The 16,885-nt window shown below is 41.6% G+C and overlaps 2 annotated features.

Moving 5' to 3' along the window:
- Positions 8,519-8,710: a silencer, noted in NCBI's record as "fragment chr14:57028256-57028447 (GRCh37/hg19 assembly coordinates)". NCBI's record gives its function as "represses an EF-1alpha promoter that drives an FKBP-Casp9 reporter gene in an ReSE screen in HepG2 liver carcinoma cells {active_cell/tissue: HepG2}" and the evidence as "EXISTENCE:reporter gene assay evidence [ECO:0000049][PMID:32094911]".
- Positions 15,311-15,480: an enhancer, noted in NCBI's record as "experimental_34318 CRE fragment used in MPRA reporter constructs". NCBI's record gives its function as "activates a minimal promoter by MPRAs in K562 erythroleukemia cells, with activity observed for the introgressed 14:57021571 variant allele {active_cell/tissue: K562}" and the evidence as "EXISTENCE:reporter gene assay evidence [ECO:0000049][PMID:34662402]".

Genomic DNA, 16,885 nt, shown 5'->3' with positions numbered 1-16,885 from the left:
CACAGAATGTTGCTTCCGCTGTATTCTCTTGATCAGGCAAGTCAGTAAAGCCAGCCCAGATTCAAGGGAAGGGGAATTCGACTTTACCTCTCAAATGTAAAGAATTTGCAGCTACCTTTGATCTATACATCCCCCAACAGGACCTGTGATACAAAAATAAAAAATATATATGGGGCAAATATTTTTTTTCTGCCTGAAGGGGGAAAAAACCATATGTGAATCAGAATTGTGGGAAAATTCAAATCGTTAACTGAATATGCAGTTTGGAAAATAAATATTGTTTGGCCTCAACACTGAAGAGTCTTCTAACAAATATTAAGGTAATACTGTTTCAAAATCTGATTCACTTAATATTTGAATTATTTAATCAGAGTATTAAAAGGTTTGTGTTATTTTCAAAATCTTTTTGTTCTATTTCAAGTTCAAAGAATAAAGTTTTTACATTTAGTAAGAAAATGATAGTAAAATATATCTATCAGATAGAAAATGAATATTGAATACAAGGACTGTGAATGTATTCAAGTACCTAGCACAGTACCTAGAACATAGTAAGTACCGGGAATAATTTGAAGATTGACTATAGAAGGGACACAGAGAGGATATCTAACCTTGCTAACTGCTTTCAGAAAAGATTACATCTAAACCCCCAACCCTAAGGAAAGTCTCTCCTAACCCAGACCCAAGATACAAACCAAATGACAAAGGAAATGTAAGAGGTATATAATTATAAATGGTAATGTAGAAGGTAATTATGGAACTTATAAAATATTAAGCATTTTCATAGTCATTCAGGGAGGAGCCTGTGTTCAAATCCTGGCTCTACTAATATCATTGTGATCCTGAAAGTTCTTAAATTAACTGGCCCCATATGACTCATCTGAAAAATGAGAATGATGACAGTGCCTTCCTCTTAAGTTTTGTGTGAAGATTAAGTAAAATAACAAAAAAGAACAGAACTTGGTACATTGTGAGTCACAATAAATATTAACTGTTATCTAACATTTAGAAGAAATTCTATAGGATATTATTTGAAAATAGGGCAAGTAAAAATGATACTTTTCTACTTCCATTTCAAAGGTAATTAGCTAGAACTGAAAATATATGAGACAGACAAACTATCCATTTGTGACCAGGAAGTGATCTGGGAAGCTTCGTGCTCCCTAGAGACTTAGTCAGCCTTGGATAAAAACTTCAATTCCGTGGTCTGTGCAAGTCCAAACTCCATCCCAATATTTCCAGGAAATCTTGCTGCCTTGTTCCACTCATCTCTAGCTCTTCAATTATTCTGCATAGCAGCTAGGTGTGGTGGCTCACGCCTGTAATCCCAGCACTTTGGGAGGCCGAGGTGGGTGGATCGTGAGGTCAGGAGTTCAAGACCAGCCTGACCAACATGGTGAAACCCCGTCTCTACTGAAAATACAAAAATTAGCTGGGTATGATGCCATGTGCCTGTAATCCCAGCTACTCAGGAGGCTGAGGCGGGAGAATTGCTTGAACCAGGACCTGGGAGGCAGAGGTAGCAGTGAGCCAAGATCGTGCCACTGCTACTCCAGCCTGGGCTACAGAGAAACACTCTGTCTCAAAAAAAAAAAAAAATTATTCTGCATAGCTCAAACTCAGTCCTTTCTTCAGTTTCCAGAGAAACCCACTGGTTCCAAACAAGCTGATTTCTGAGAGAATGGAAAGAAGAGTGTTCAACCAACAACCATCTCCCCAGGTTCCTGCTCACTCTCCCCTGATTTCTCCTTTTCCCAAATTTGCCCTTGCAAACTCTTTCTTCTCCTCTCTTCTGCCCAGCATGTTAGTTTACCTTAGGGTAAGCTATCTCTAAACTACCTTTGATGACCCAACATCATCAAGGTATTTAGTTAGTAGAATAAAGGATCTTCCATGTGACAGGATTTACATGCTCTGGATCACAGACGTAGTTAATGATCCAGTACTTGGCTCCTGCTCTAGTACATGTTCTTCTATCTCATGTTTCCTGCATTGATGTCATCAAGATTTGAAGAAAAATAACCAAGGGATAGGTGTATAACATCTTGATGAGTTTAAAGTAGTTGATAAAATGAATAGTTTCATGCATATGCATACAAATGGCAATTCCAAATAAAATTTAAGTTTGCCTGCTATGGGCTATGCAGTGAGTGGTCTCTGTGCTTATAGCAATGGAGTTCCTGGATGGTGCTATTTGAGCATCAATAATCCAAGAGCCCAGTGGCCCACGTTGCTATATGCTAATGCGCTCTCCTTCTCCTTGACCTGAAATTCTTATGATTCGAGTCATTCAGCCACACTAAACACTAGAGTTGGAAATGTCTCCAGAAGTGTCAGTTTGTTTGTGATTATCTAATCTTGGAAGTTGGGAAGAAAAAAAAAAGCATAATAGGTATCAGACTGTATTTTAAGGATTGTCTGAGACTAATACTTTCCTACCCCTTTAGAAAAGAGCCACACTAATTGTTGGGATTTATAAGAAGGCAAATATTGGCTCAAAAATGTTTCAAGAGTCAAAAGACAAGTTACTGTTTTCACAATCCATTGGAAGAGTGTCATAGTTAAATTTATCTTCCTAAGACAGATCATTTTTCATTTGCCTGGGTCTTAGGAGTGAATAAGTGAGGGAGAAGCCCTTTACTTCCCACATAACAGACCCCAGTGGGAAACTGGCTTTTCTCTGAAAAATGGGAGTGCCAATAAGAATGGGAATGCAAATGGGGTAGAGAGAGGAAAATACTTCAGTAGGTCGGGGACCCACATACACCAAGGCTTCTGGGACTGGCATTATATCATTTACATTAGATGACGCCATAGATCCGTCCCTACTGTTTGCATCTCCCCACATGGGAAAAGTGACATGCCAACAGTTGAGTCCTTGTCTTGGAAGGATATCAAGAGCAAGTCCATAGTAAACCAAAGATATGCTGAAATGAAGACTGTCTGAACATGCAAGACTTCTAACAGGCATTGGAAGGGGAATGGCAAACTGGGCAGGTAATGCCATTCCTAGTGTTTTCTTTTTCCACAAACCCAATAAAAGGGCTTTGTTTCTCTGTGGTAATACCCCATGTTGAGTATGTTATTCTGTTGAACCATGAGGTTGGGCTCAGAACATCTGGAATAAGCAGATTATAAATCAGTGGAGGTAGTCCAGGGGACAATTTTGCAAATGTTACTAAGATTCAGATATACTACCCAAGGGACACATGAGAATTTTCTTCCCTGTGTACATGAATAAATACAGGTTTAATAGGTTTTAGAGACTTCACCTTGAAAAGCAATGTCTTAGACACAAGAGAAGTACATAAAGCACACGTGTTTATAGAAGTAGGGGAAGGTCGCAAGAGCAGCAGGGTTGGGAACATGGAAGGAGCAGGCAGGATGCATGGGTTGCAGGAAACTGTCCTGAGCAAGAAGATGGTTCTCTCATCAGAAAGCCACTCTTGCTAGAGCCCAGCAGCATGGAGTGCCTGGCCTACCAGGAGCTATGCTCCTTTCACGACTGAAGGGTGATAGTTACGTTTATGGTCTTTGGAGTTAGACTTTGAGTTCAAATGCCATCTCCATCACTCACCAGTTGGGCAAGTTACTTCACTTACCTTATTTTCCCCCATCTATTAAATGGAGATATCATGAGAATTAAATAAAAATAATCTAGATTCAGAGTTTAGCACCCAGCTTGGCACAGAGTAAGCACTCAAGAAATGTGGGTTATTGTTATTATTATCCACTTGAAAAATACCAATTGAGTGTACTGTGTTCCAGGCTCTGTGCACTGGTAAACAATTTTAAGTATGGCATGCATTATTTCTGTCCTCCCAGAGCTCACAGACCAGCGGGAGATACAATACGCAATCTGGCAATGACAGCATTGTATGAAAATGGGATACGATTGGGAAAATGCAGGGTGTTATGGGATCACAGGGGCTTCAAAGAAGCTGAGACTTGAAGTAGAACAGGAGTTCACCAGGTGAGGGCTGCTGGGGGAAGAAGGAAAGGGTAGCGCACATGAAGACCTGGAGTTAAAGAGGAATGATGCACTGAAGCCAATAGGTCTGTGGCCCTTGTGTGCTGAGGACAGGGTAGGCAGTCAAGGGTGACATTGAGGGCGTGGGTTGTGAGAGAACACGTTATGCAGAGATGGTAACTCAGGTGGAGGAGACAGGAATTTTAATTCACACCACAAGGGCCCATTGACTTTACTTTAATGAGGCAAATTTAATCTGTTTTGAATCCATGTCCCACTTGGTTATCAGAATATTCACTCAGTCATTACTGGGGCTCCTTTCTTCTCCAGCCCCACCCCACCAGGCTCATATATGAGTCTTGGGAGCTTACACAGCCACAGCATTCTGGGCTTAATCTGCACAGTGGCCTATGCTGATGTGCTCATTGTCCACGTCCACATGGTCTCTTGAAAGCAGGTGCAAGCGACACCAGTGCCAAGTTTGAGCCTGCAGAAATTCTCCCCCCTAGATACCAAAGAGATGGCTCTCTGTGAATAGCACCATCCTAGTTCCCATTAATCCACTCCACCATCCTCCATCAGTCCTTAGTCTGAAGTGTTACTAACAAGTGACTCAGGGTCCCCATCTGATTGAAAACCTTTTAGAAACTGATCTCTTAACTCTGGAAATATCTCTCAGCCCTCTAGTTTGTCTACTTCTGTCTCTCTTAAACACCCAGCTCTTGACCTCTTCCTCTCCTTCTCTGGGACAAGTTAATATCCATGAGCCCAGATGTCACAAATAAAATCTGGGACAGGAGTTATCTTCTTCCTGGTAACCTCTCCTTTCAGTTCTCTAACACAGACTCCAAGAAAACACAAAAATCTGACTACTTTCTTGGGATAGGGGAAAGAAAAATATCTAGAGCAGCAAAAATGACACTCAAAACAAAACTCATCTTGTCACATATTATTCTGGAAGCTTTATCCTAAAACACATTAGGGAACATTTAAAGGGTTCTATGATTTGTATTTCAGAAAGTTCACTGTGGCTATAGAGTGGAGAAGAAGAGGTGGGTAACAATAGAGGTGGGGAAAGTGATTAGAAATAACCATCCCAGTAATCTAGGTGAGAGCTGACTTTGGTCCCATCCAGGGTAGTGCTAATGGAAATGAAGGAAAACAAAATTAAACACAGTATAATATTCATATTTAAATACAGATGCTTGCTTTTCCAGGCAATTTTCTGATTTACTAACTTTTTTTTATATCTGCCACTTCCTTATGAGCTCATTTTCCTTTTTTTCTGAAAGATATCTTTTAGTAGTTTCTGAATCTCTGTATATCTGAACTTGTTTCTTCTTTATCTTGATTTTTGATTTTGAATGATTTAGCTGGGTATAGAATTTTAGATTCATTATTTTCCCTCCTCGGTGCTTTTCTCTTTTCTTTTTTTTTTTTTTTTTTTTTTTTTTTTTTTTTTTTTTTTTTTTTGAGACGGAGTCTCGCTCTGTCGCCCAGGCCGGACTGCGGACTGCAGTGGCGCAATCTCGGCTCACTGCAAGCTCCGCTTCCCGGGTTCACGCCATTCTCCTGCCTCAGCCTCCCGAGTAGCTGGGACTACAGGCGCCCGCCACCGCGCCCGGCTAATTTTTTGTATTTTTTTTTTTTTTTAGTAGAGACGGGGTTTCACCTTGTTAGCCAGGATGGTCTCGATCTCCTGACCTCATGATCCACCCGCCTCGGCCTCCCAAAGTGCTGGGATTACAGGCGTGAGCCACCGCGCCCGGCCTTCTCTTTTCTTTTCTTTTCTTTTCTTTTTTTTTTCTTTCCTTTTTTTTTTTTTTTTTTTTTTTGAGACAGTCTTCTTCTGTCACCCAGACTGGAGGGCAGTGGTACCATCTTGGCTTACTGCAACCTCTGCCTCCTGGGTTCAAGTGATTCTCCTGCCTTAGCCTCCCGAGTAGCTGAGATTACAGGTGCCCACTACCATGCCTGGCTAAATTTTGTATTTTTAGTAGGGGCAGGGTTTCACCATGTTGGCCAGGGGGGTCTCGAACTCCTGACCTCAGGTGATCCACCCTCCTCAGCCTCCTAAAATGCTGGGATTACAGGCGTGAGCCACCAGCTCCGGCCCCTTAGCACTTTTTCTTCACTCCATTTTCGTTTCCCCGTGGAATCTATTGACAAGAAATCTGTTATCAATCAAATTATCATTCCCTTAGCTATTTTGTCTTTTCTCTGTGGCAGCTTTTAGGATTTTTTTTCACTTTGTCTTTATTGTTTTAAAATTTTTCTGTAATGTATCTGAGCATAGATCTTTTCTAGTTTATTCTGTTTGGTACTCATTTGTTCTTTTCAACTTGAAGAATCAAATCTTCTTTTAGTTTTAGAAATTGTCAGCCATTATCTTTTCAAAGATTGTTTCTCTATCATACCATCTTTCCTTCTCTTCTGGAACTCTGGGCTTTTCCTTGTTTCTACATCTGCTATGTATTCCCTGTTTCTTATCTCTCTGAGCTACATTTTGAGAGACTTAGTTCTTTCTTCCAACGTGCTTATTGCCTCTTCAGTCTTTTTTTTTTTTTTGAGACAGAGTCTTGCTCTGTCACCCAGGCTGGAGTGCAATGGTGCCATCTTGGCTCACTGTAGCCTCCACCTCCCGGGTTCAAGCGATTCTCAAGCGATTCTCCTGCTTCAGCCTCCCAAGTAGCTGGGACTACAGGTGCGTGCTACCTCGCCCAGCTAGCCTATCTAATGAATTTTTTAGTGGTATAATAATCAACTGTATTCTTCACTTTCATGATTTCTAGTTTCTTCTTATTCTTCACTTTTCTAATTCTTACTTCATAATTGAACTATATGTTGTGCATATGAAATTGCACATTCTTTCTCATAACTTCCAGTTTTTGTTGTATTATTGCTATTTTCTTTTTAATGTCTTAAGGATTGCTCTATTGTACTTATTTCCTCAGGTGTGAATTTTCCCATTTGTTAGATCTGTTGATTCTATGTTATGCCATTAGAACTTCTTTGGCCTTAAGATTATTGCTTGCATGCATATTTTCTATTGTATTTTTTCCCACATTTACTCTGAGGCTATATAATGGTTGCTCCTACTTCAACACCAAAAGATGCACAAGTAGGTCTTAACAGCTCAGCCAGGGGTTCTCGTCATAAGTAATATCCCACAGCAGGTCCCAAGTCCTGACCTCATTCTGTGACTCATCCTCTGTCCCTGGAAGTTTCATTTCCTCCCTCCATCCTTCCCTTCCTTCTCTCCTTCCTTTTTGTCCTTTCTTACTTTTTATTATAAAAAATGTTCAAACATACATAGAATAGAACTAGTGTGAATAGTATAATGAGCCTCTGGTACCTATTACCCAGCTGTAACACTTATCAGTATATGCCTAATCTTGTTTCATTTATACCTCTCTCCTTTCTACCTCACTGGATTATTTTAAAGAAAATCCCAGACATCATAGCATTTTATCCATGAATGTTTCAGTATGTATGTCTCAGAAGTATTGTCTTCTTTAAAAACACATAACCATAATACTATTATGACATGCAAAAATTAGTAATTTTTTTTTTTGAGACGGAGTTTCACTCTTGTCACCCAGGCTGGAGTGCAGTGGTGCGATCTCGGCTCACTGCAACCTCTGCCTGCCAGGTTCAAGCAATTCTCCTGCCTCAGCCTCCTGAATAGCTGGGATTACAGGTGCCTGCCACCATGTCCAGCTAATTTTTTGTATTGTTAGTGGAGACGGGATTTCCCCATGTTGGGCAGGCTGATCTTGAACTCCTGACCTCATGATCTGCCCGCCTCAGCCTCCCAAAGTGCTGGGATTATAGGCATGAGCCACCGCGCCTGGCCAAATTAGTAATTTTTTAATATTACTAAGCTGTTAGTGTTAAATTTCCCTGATTATTTCATAAATATTTTTATAGCAGTTTTGTTTGCATTAAAGTTCATATAAGCTGCAGACATCGGCAGGGTGTGGTGGCTCACACCTGTAATCCCAGAACTTCGGGAGGCCAAGGTAGGAGGATCATTTGAGTCCAGGAGTTCACGACAAACCTGGGCACAATAAGGAGACCCTGTCTCTACAAAAAATTTTTTAAAAATTAGCCAGGCGTGGTGGTGCAAGCCTGTGGTCCCAGCTACTTGGGAAGCTGAGATGGAAGGATTGCTTGAGTTCGGTAGGTTGAGGCTGCAGTGAGTCACGATCACACCACTACACACCAGCCTTCGTGACAGAGCAAGATCCTGTTGCAAAAAAAAAAAAAAAAAAAAAAAAAAAAGATGCAGACATTGCCTTTGGCTCATATGTCTCTTAAGTCTTCTTTAATCTATAACATTTCTTCCTCCAGAATACAGGGATGAGAGAATATACAGGACAAGAGAAGAAACTACATTATTTATCCTGGACAATTTCCCACATTCTGGTTTTCATTGATTGCATCCATGTGCCATTACTTAACATTTATGGATCTATTGCTTCAATAACGCTATGTAACAAAACACCACAAAACCTCAACGGCATGCAATAATAAGGGTTTATTACTGCTCATGCATCTGGGGAAATTGGCAAGGTGACTTTGCTGATCTTGGCTAAACTTGCTTGCCTGTCTGAGGGTCAGCTGGCTAGCTCCCAGCTGGGATAGGATGACCTTGGCTGGGAGGACTGGGGTGACTGAATTCTCTTCTATGTATCTCTCATCTTCCATTAAATTAGCATGATCATGTCCTTCTCATGGTGATGACAGAAGCCAGAACACAAAGATTGCCAGGGTTAAAGACACAGGGGTCAGCAAGGCCTCACGTGAGGGATCTCTTTTTTTTTTTTTTTTGAGACAGAGTCTTGCTCTGTCACCCAGGCTGGAGTGCAATGGTGCCATCTTAGCTCACTGCAACCTCCACCCTCTGGGTTCAAGTGATTCTCAAGCAATTCTCCTGCCTTAGCCTCCCAAGTAGCTGGGACTACAGGTGCGTGCCACCACACCCGCCTAATTTTTGCATTTTTAGTAGAGACAGGGTTTCACCATATTGGCCAGGCTGGTCTCAAACTCCTGAGCTTGTGATCCGCCCGCCTCAGTGTCCCAAAGTTCTGGGATTACAGGCATGAGCTACTGTGCCCATCCCCTAGGATCTCTTAGAAGATGGCTGAAACAGGAGGAACCCAGGTCCTGAGGGAAATGGGTGACTGGAGAATGTAGTAAGTTGGAGTCTCAGAGAACACTGCAGAGTCCACCAATAATTGGACTGTAGGATAAAAGAATAGTCACAACATATAAAGCAATAGTCCAGATTCTGTGTCCTAAATAAAAAGTGAATCAGAATCAGGATGAACGCATGGCAGATTTTCTGTAGATTAATATTTATTGCATTCCTACTAATGCTAAGTACTTCATCAAACACATCACATAAATTATAGTATAGTGGATGAGACCAAGAATTCTGAGGCTGCCTGGGTCTGAGACCTATCTCCACCAGTGAAATGAGTGAATAGACCCACAATGCTTAGAAAAATGCCCGCCGCAAAGTAAGCACTCAAAAATCTTAGCTGTTACACATGATCTCATTTTACATTCGCAGTAACCCTTTAATATAGAAAAATATTGGCTGGGCGCAGTGGCTCACACCTGTAATCCTAGCACTTTGGGAGGCCGAGGCAGGTGGATCACATGAGGTCAGGAGTTCGAGACCAGCCTGGCCAACATGGTGAAACACCATCTCTACTAAAAATACAAAAAGTAGCCAGGTGTGGTGGTGAGTGCCTATAATCCCAGCTACCTGAGAGGCTGAGGCAGGAGAATCGCTTGAACCGGGGAGGCAGAGGTTGCAGTGAGCTGAGATCATGCCACTGTATTCCAGGATGGGCAACAAGAGTAAAACTCTGTCTCAAAAAAAAAAAAAAAGATAGAAAAATATTGTATTCCCATTTACAGATGGGAAAAGGGAACCACAGACAGGTTAGCTGACATAGCCAAGTCACATAGCCAACGAGCAGCAGAGCAGGAATCCAAACCCAGGAATTTCATCTCAGGGCCCACATACCAATTATGATAGGATGCTATCTCATCTGTATCACTTGATTTGATATGAGTCCTGGAGTTAGTTTTTTAAGTGTCCTTGTCTCGGGCTAGGATTGGCTCCAGAGCCTGAGTATGTGCATAAGAGGGGTGGTGGGGGTGGGGTTGGGGTGGGAGGAACTGGATTTATCCCCGTAAGTGGCTTCAGACATAGGAATTAGTGAGCTACAGGGGCAGAACGCAAGCAGTCAGAACAGTGTGGGACTCCCAGTGGACGAGGGCCCCAAGGACACAGGAGGAGCAGAGGTGTGTGGCCAACGCTGCAGGTGCAAAGCAACGTGTCCCAAAATCAGTCAGCAAGGAGCAAGGAGGGTGATGGTGGAGATGAGTTGAATTTGAGAGATTCTTCTTGAGGTATTTCTTTAAATAGAGTACGAAGAGAGCCATGCCAATGAAAGACCAACTGTAGCCAGTTTTCTAACGTGGTATTTCTTTTCTTTCTTTCTTTTTTTTTTTTTTTTTTTTTGAGATAGAGTCTCGCTTTGTCTTCCAGGCTGGAGTGCAGTGGTGTGATCTCAGCTCACTGCAGCCTCCACCTCCTGGGCTCAAGTGATTCTCCTGCCTCAGCTTCCCGAGTAGTTTGGATTACAGGTGTACGCCACCAGACCTGGCTAATTTTTGTATTTTTAGTAGAGATGGGGTTTCACCATGTGGCCAGACTGGTCTTGAACTCCTGACCTCAAGTGATCTGCCCACCTCAGCCTCCCAAAATGCTGGGATTACATGCATGAGCCACCACGCCCAGCCTTCTAATGCAGTATTAATATTTCTGAAACATGGCTTATTATCAGAAACATCTGGTGGAGCTTTTCAAAACTGCCCATTCCTGGGCTTACCCTTGTCAATGCTAATTAGTAGTTCCAGATAGAGCCTGAATAGCTGAACATTTCTAGAGCTTCCCAGGTCTTGATTAGCTTGGTCTGGGTCCCACTGATCTAAAGGTACAGCCCTTCGGGCTTTTTAAAGTTTCGACTTTTATTTTAGATACGGGGGTACATATGCAGATTTGTTACATGGGAATATTGCGTGATGCTGAGGTTTGGAGTACTGATTCTATCGCCCGGGGAGTGAGCGTAGTACCCAGTACATAGTTTTTTAACCCACCCCAGCCTCCACCCTCTAGTAATCCACAGTGTTTGTTGTTCCCACATTTATGTGTGTTCAATGTTCAGCTCCCACTTGTGAGAACATGCAACAACTCTTCATTTAACAGGTAAGGAAGCTGACACCAGGGAGGTTAAGCATCTCACCCGAGCCACACAGCTGGTTGATGGCAGAACTGAAACTGGGTTTTAGTCCAAAGTTCTTTCTATAATACACATTCCTGTCACTATATTCAACGGGTAAAGTTGCTTGGGGGAAAATACTCCCAAATATAAATGCATTTGTATTTTGATATAGGAGTATCAAATAGCATTCATCGTCATAAACTATGAGCAACCATAATTATGCACAAATTCTATTTGACAAACTGTCTTTTCAGCTCCTAGGTGTGTGGCTGTATCCCCAGGTGGGATATGAGTAGCTTATATATTGGAACTTTTTTTTTTCATTTTTATACCTCCAACTTTTCCCACAGTACATTTAATAAATGTCAGTTAAATAATTGTAATGACCAAAAAAACTCAATATATTATGACATGTTTGGTGGGGAAAATTCAATAGCATGGTATGAAAACATATTTATGCTTTTGCAAACCTCAGAATTTTTTTTTCTTTTCAAGTCTGTCAAACATTTGCCATTTGAATTACAGCTTGTTTGATAAGTGATATCAATCCATGAAGGAATAATATAATACTTCCTACTTAAAGGAGATTTTGTCAAATATGATTGAGTAAACCAACTTCAGATGAATGGATCAGTTAATGCACTTAGCTTGACGAATTCTCTGCCTCAGTTGATAGCACTGATTTTCACTTTGGGGATGGCAGTATGCCACACTAAGCCTGGTGTCACATGTTACCTTCCTTTTTCAAAAAAGAAAACTGAGGCACAGAAAGTTTGCATAATCCTCCTAGATCACACCACTAACAAGTGGAGGAATTTGGAGCCTGTGCTTTTTCTATGCATAGTTTTATGCTGCTGCCCAGGTAAGAAGAAGAAGATTGCTGGGTATGCTTTTGCTTTTGCTGCCCAAAGATGTCTGCAAGTCACACAAGCACAGAGGCAGAAGAAACTTCAAGAGAGTAGGAGGAGACTCAGGGCCAGTGAGAGTCAGTGCGGGAGCTTTGTTAACCACATAAGCCATCTTCATGGGTATTCTCAGAGGTTTCTGAGGTCCATAGAACCTGGCACTCTGGGGGCTCCTGGTCCTGACAGAACCCCAGGATAAGGAATAGGGCAGATTGTGCTCATTTATCCCCAGAGGCTTAGAGCCCAGTAGGGGCTAGCTCTCCTAAGTCTCTGGAACAGAAGTCTTAAGGATTTGTTCAGGAGTCAGCGTGGGGTCTCCACACCAGAAGAATGATGACTTGATGTCCGTAGGGATGGGGCTGTTGTTAGAACTTGGAAGGGCCGCTCGTTACATGACTTGGCTTCAAGTTGTACCTGCATAGCAGGTGCACTGCTTTTGTTTAGATTCTACTTTTATTTGGGGTGGCTTTGAAAGGGGCTGGGTGGAGATTACTGGAAGGGGTGTTTCTAAATCTCCCAAGATACCTCTTTGTGTCCCCGTTGTGCAAGAGACAGCTTCAACTGAAGAGCATTCACCACCATCTGAAAAGGAAGCTGGAACGCCATCGACTCTGAATCTAACTTGATGTTCACAGGAATAGAGGATCATCAAGTACCACGCAGGTGGTACTTGACATCTACAGGGGTCCCTTTAACCCATCTAGAGGCAAAGGAAGTGTGGCAGTCTGGGCCATCTCAGATGGCTCTCTGGACTGCGGTCCCTCTGGAGCCAACCTGTTCAAGTTGGCACACAAAGCTTCCCTCTTAGCTGGGCCTCCATCTGTCCAGGCAGACCCAGTCACATAGTTTTGGGAAAGCAGTCTTGGGCAACCTTCTCTGGTCAGAAGGAGAATGAAAGACCCAGAGGTGGTAGTCACTGGACCCTGAGCAGGAGTCTTAGACATCCAGGGAGACAAACAGTCCCAGCTATAAGGACCTTGATTTAGCCTTTGCTGGAGAAATTATGATTAATGTACCTGAGGAGGAAGTTATCTGGGGTTTGAAGCTGTTTAAATGTCCAGGAGCAAAAGGACGTTAGGTCACCAGAGGCATAAAAGGAACTGAAGGGCCACAGTACTAAGAGAGAATCTCAATGACCTGCCCTCTCCTAGGGAGAAAGGAAGATGGAAGATAAGAATGAAGATGTTCTAATAGAGGGATGAAGGAAGAGGCGCTGCTCAAATGTGCTGGAATCACAGTGATGAACACAGAGCAGTTCTCCAGCATAGCCAGCCACCACGGGGATCCTGCACTGTGCTCTTACCACTACCCCGGGCACCCAAGATCAAGTGCAGGGGCTTCTGCCAGGGATTTGAGACGAGGGCAGCAGACCCTCAAGCTAAGCCTTCTAATTCTAGAGAATGTATTGCTATTGATGAAGGTCTGCCACGTAGATAGCGATTAGGTTTTTTTGTTTGTTTGTTTTGGTTTTTTAAAGATGGTGGAGATGAACAAAAATGGGAGACACATCCATCCTGGCTTGCAGACACCTTTCTGTCTTCGAAGGTGTTAATTCTGCCCAAGTAACCTCACCACACATTCATGTGCTGGGCCCACAGTGATGCTTATAAGTGAAAGAGTTATTGCCAGAAAATGTAGCTTGTGGATGGAAGGGACATAGTATTTCTCACCACCGCACTGGAGCTGAGTAGAACAACTTCAAATACAAAATATAAACTCACCCAAAATATTGACATGCGTGAATGTTGAAGTTGTCTTCAGTTCTACCTTAATCAAATTGGCGAACATAATCCAGTCTTACTAAGACAATTAAAGGGACACTTCTATAATTAGATGGAAAGGTGTTTTTTTGTTTTGTTTTTTCTAGGGATTTCATCATCCACCTTGCCAACAATCTAAAGAAAAAAACATGCAGATCTTATGGCACTAGAGCATACTCTAGTGGTGGTGAAGAAAAGCAAACACTTCCAAACTGCTATCTGTATCCACTGCTGGGGAGTACTAGGTAAATACTTCTTGTTTGGGCAAAAGGTTAGGTAGGATTGCCTCATAAAACAGCAAAGAAAATGGATGGAGCACTGTGTGACAACTCCACGCCATGTAATTCTCCCCTAAGAATAAGGCAAGTTCTGTTTTATCCAATGCTCAAAGCCAAAGGCAAACAAACAAGAATTATTAAAAATCTTAAAACAATCTAAAATAACATCCTACACCGTGAGGTTTTAGCGAAGCTTTTGGGTTTTTTTTTTTCTTCTTCTTCTTCTTAAATCTGAGCCACATTTAGACTTTCCCCTTAGAGATTCTGTTTAAAGAAAGGAGAGGGAGCAGATAATAGATATAATACCTAAAGCAAACTCCCTTCAGCCGTGACAGTGTTATTACAAACTTGAGTGAGTGCCATTATTTCGAATAAATCAAAACAATGGACCAGAACCAATTTTACATAAGAAAATATTGTTCAATTTGTTGCAAGCCATGGTGAAGACTCCTCTGGTCTGTCAAGTGATGGTTAATATAAGTAAGAACATCTGTCCTTGTTAAAGATAGCACTCATAAAAGCAAACTTATACATTTAACCAAGTAAACTCATTGCCATATGCTGTGTGTGTCTCCAAACTGAGGGAAATATATTCCCACGGTTTTAAATGTAAATTATACTCTTACATTCAAACTAACATGAACTAAAAGGAAGAAAAATCCAACATCACCACACACATAAAAAATAAAAAAACTTTTTTTAAAACCAGAAGCTTTGTGTTCTATTGTGTTTAGATTTAAAATATGGAACTATTTAGAAAGAATTAAAGAGATTATGTTTATTTGATTTCAAGTTATCTCAGCAAGAAACATATTTTTCATACCTCTTTGGAAGAACAGCAGGTCAAATGACACATTTGTGAGTGACTGTTTGAAATATTTCAGCCACGCCGCAGGGTCCGCCTGACCTGGGCACCGTAGATCGAGGGAACAAAGGCTTATGTTTTAAAAGTTCCTTTAAGAGCCTTTCTGGGGGAGGGGAAAGGGGGACACGGGAAGCTGTCACAACCTCGCTTTTTATTTTTATCCTATGACACTAATCAGTTTAATTATATTTCTAACCCATGACTTGGGATCATAATTAATTCTTCCAAATGCAAACATTATATTGCATAATTCTGCAACTTTGCAAGAATCAACACAGTTTGTTTCAAAGTCACCCACATTCTTTGAACTCCAGAGTTTCCCAGTCTGTGCAAATTCATTCCTCCCTTTGAGTAGGTTTTGTTTCTGGCTATGTTCAATAGCAAAGGTGGGTCTTTATTCTTAATGATAAAACAAGTTGCAGAACAGTTTCATTAAAGAGATCCAGGATCTGAAGAACCTATTCACTTCATTACTTGACTAAATGAAAATCATACACTGACGTAAGGTTAAATGGGGCTGCGATTTCCTTATTAAATGGAACAATTAATATTACAAGTGTTTGAAGATCATGATCGAGAAGACTTCACTGAACGTTTCCAAGAGTAATTATTGCAAACAGAACACAAACCCTATTTAGGGTGTAACTCAATATGAGGGCTTGTGAGTCAAATGTTGAGCCATTTAGAACTACAAATCTTTCTTTGTGGCCTTATTAAAGAAATTCTCCCATCTCCATTTAAAGGGATAGATTGCCAAGGCCTAAATAAAAGGCCAGAACCTAAAATGAAAATGCTTCTGACTTCACTGCCACACCTGATACTTCCAATACAGATTTCCTCCGAGTGCCGCTTTCTTCACCTCCTTTGCCCCGGGCCTTCATAATCCAGAGAGAGAAAAATGAATTTCATTCCCAAATGCTAGAATTGCTGGTGCAGAATGTAACTAAATATCAGCAGCTGTGCCAGGGCACCTGGGGCCATATAAGGAAGCCTTACAAAAGACTTAGTTATGAACAAGATCCCAGTTCTCTGCTCATCTTGGTTTTCTGTGCTTTAAGAAGGGCAGGGAGAATTGCAACTATGCCCTTAAAAAAAGTGTGTGTGTTGTGGGGGAGGGGGGGGCGGTTCTAGTTCTCAAAAAAAAAAAAAAAAGAAAGAAAGGATAAAACAGGTGTTCCTACTGCAAATAAATGGGACCAAAGTAATGCTGCTACAGCTCATGACCATGACTTCTCAAACATTAATGTACAAATGCATCACACAGGGATCGTTGAAGATGCAGATTCTGAATCAGTAGGTCTGGACGGGGCCTGAGAGTCTGCATTTCTAATAAGTTCTAACATGATGTTGGTGCAGCTGGTCTAAGGTCCACATTTTAAATAAGGAGTTAGAGCAATTCACGGCCTTTTCACGTGATTAGCCTCCTTCTCTATATTACTATTCCAAAGTAGTTTCATTTAATACTTGTCACTCAATCACCGAAGTCAGGATTTTCCTGAAGACAAGCACTGTGTACCCCATCTCTGCTATATCCTTTAGCACCTAGCATAGCACTAGGAATGAGTGCTATTATAAGGATGAGAAAAAGGAAGTAGCAGGTAACAGAGACAGACCCTTTCTGGAGGTATGGGCAGCAAAACTGCGAGGAAGGAGGCAGGTTCAATGGCAATTATGCAATCTTTGTGGAAAAGGTGTCATAGAGCCTCTCTTCACAATTCTTCACAGATATCTTTAACAAAGAGTGTCTGAGAAGACAGTCTGTGATCTCTTTTTATCTCTCTTTCGGTGTTTGGAATGACGGTATTG

This window comes from Homo sapiens, chromosome 14, assembly GCF_000001405.40.
Source record: "Homo sapiens chromosome 14, GRCh38.p14 Primary Assembly".
NCBI lineage: Eukaryota > Metazoa > Chordata > Mammalia > Primates > Hominidae > Homo > Homo sapiens.
Note: the sequence above shows the minus strand (reverse complement) of the source record. Positions and strands in the feature narration are given on the sequence as shown.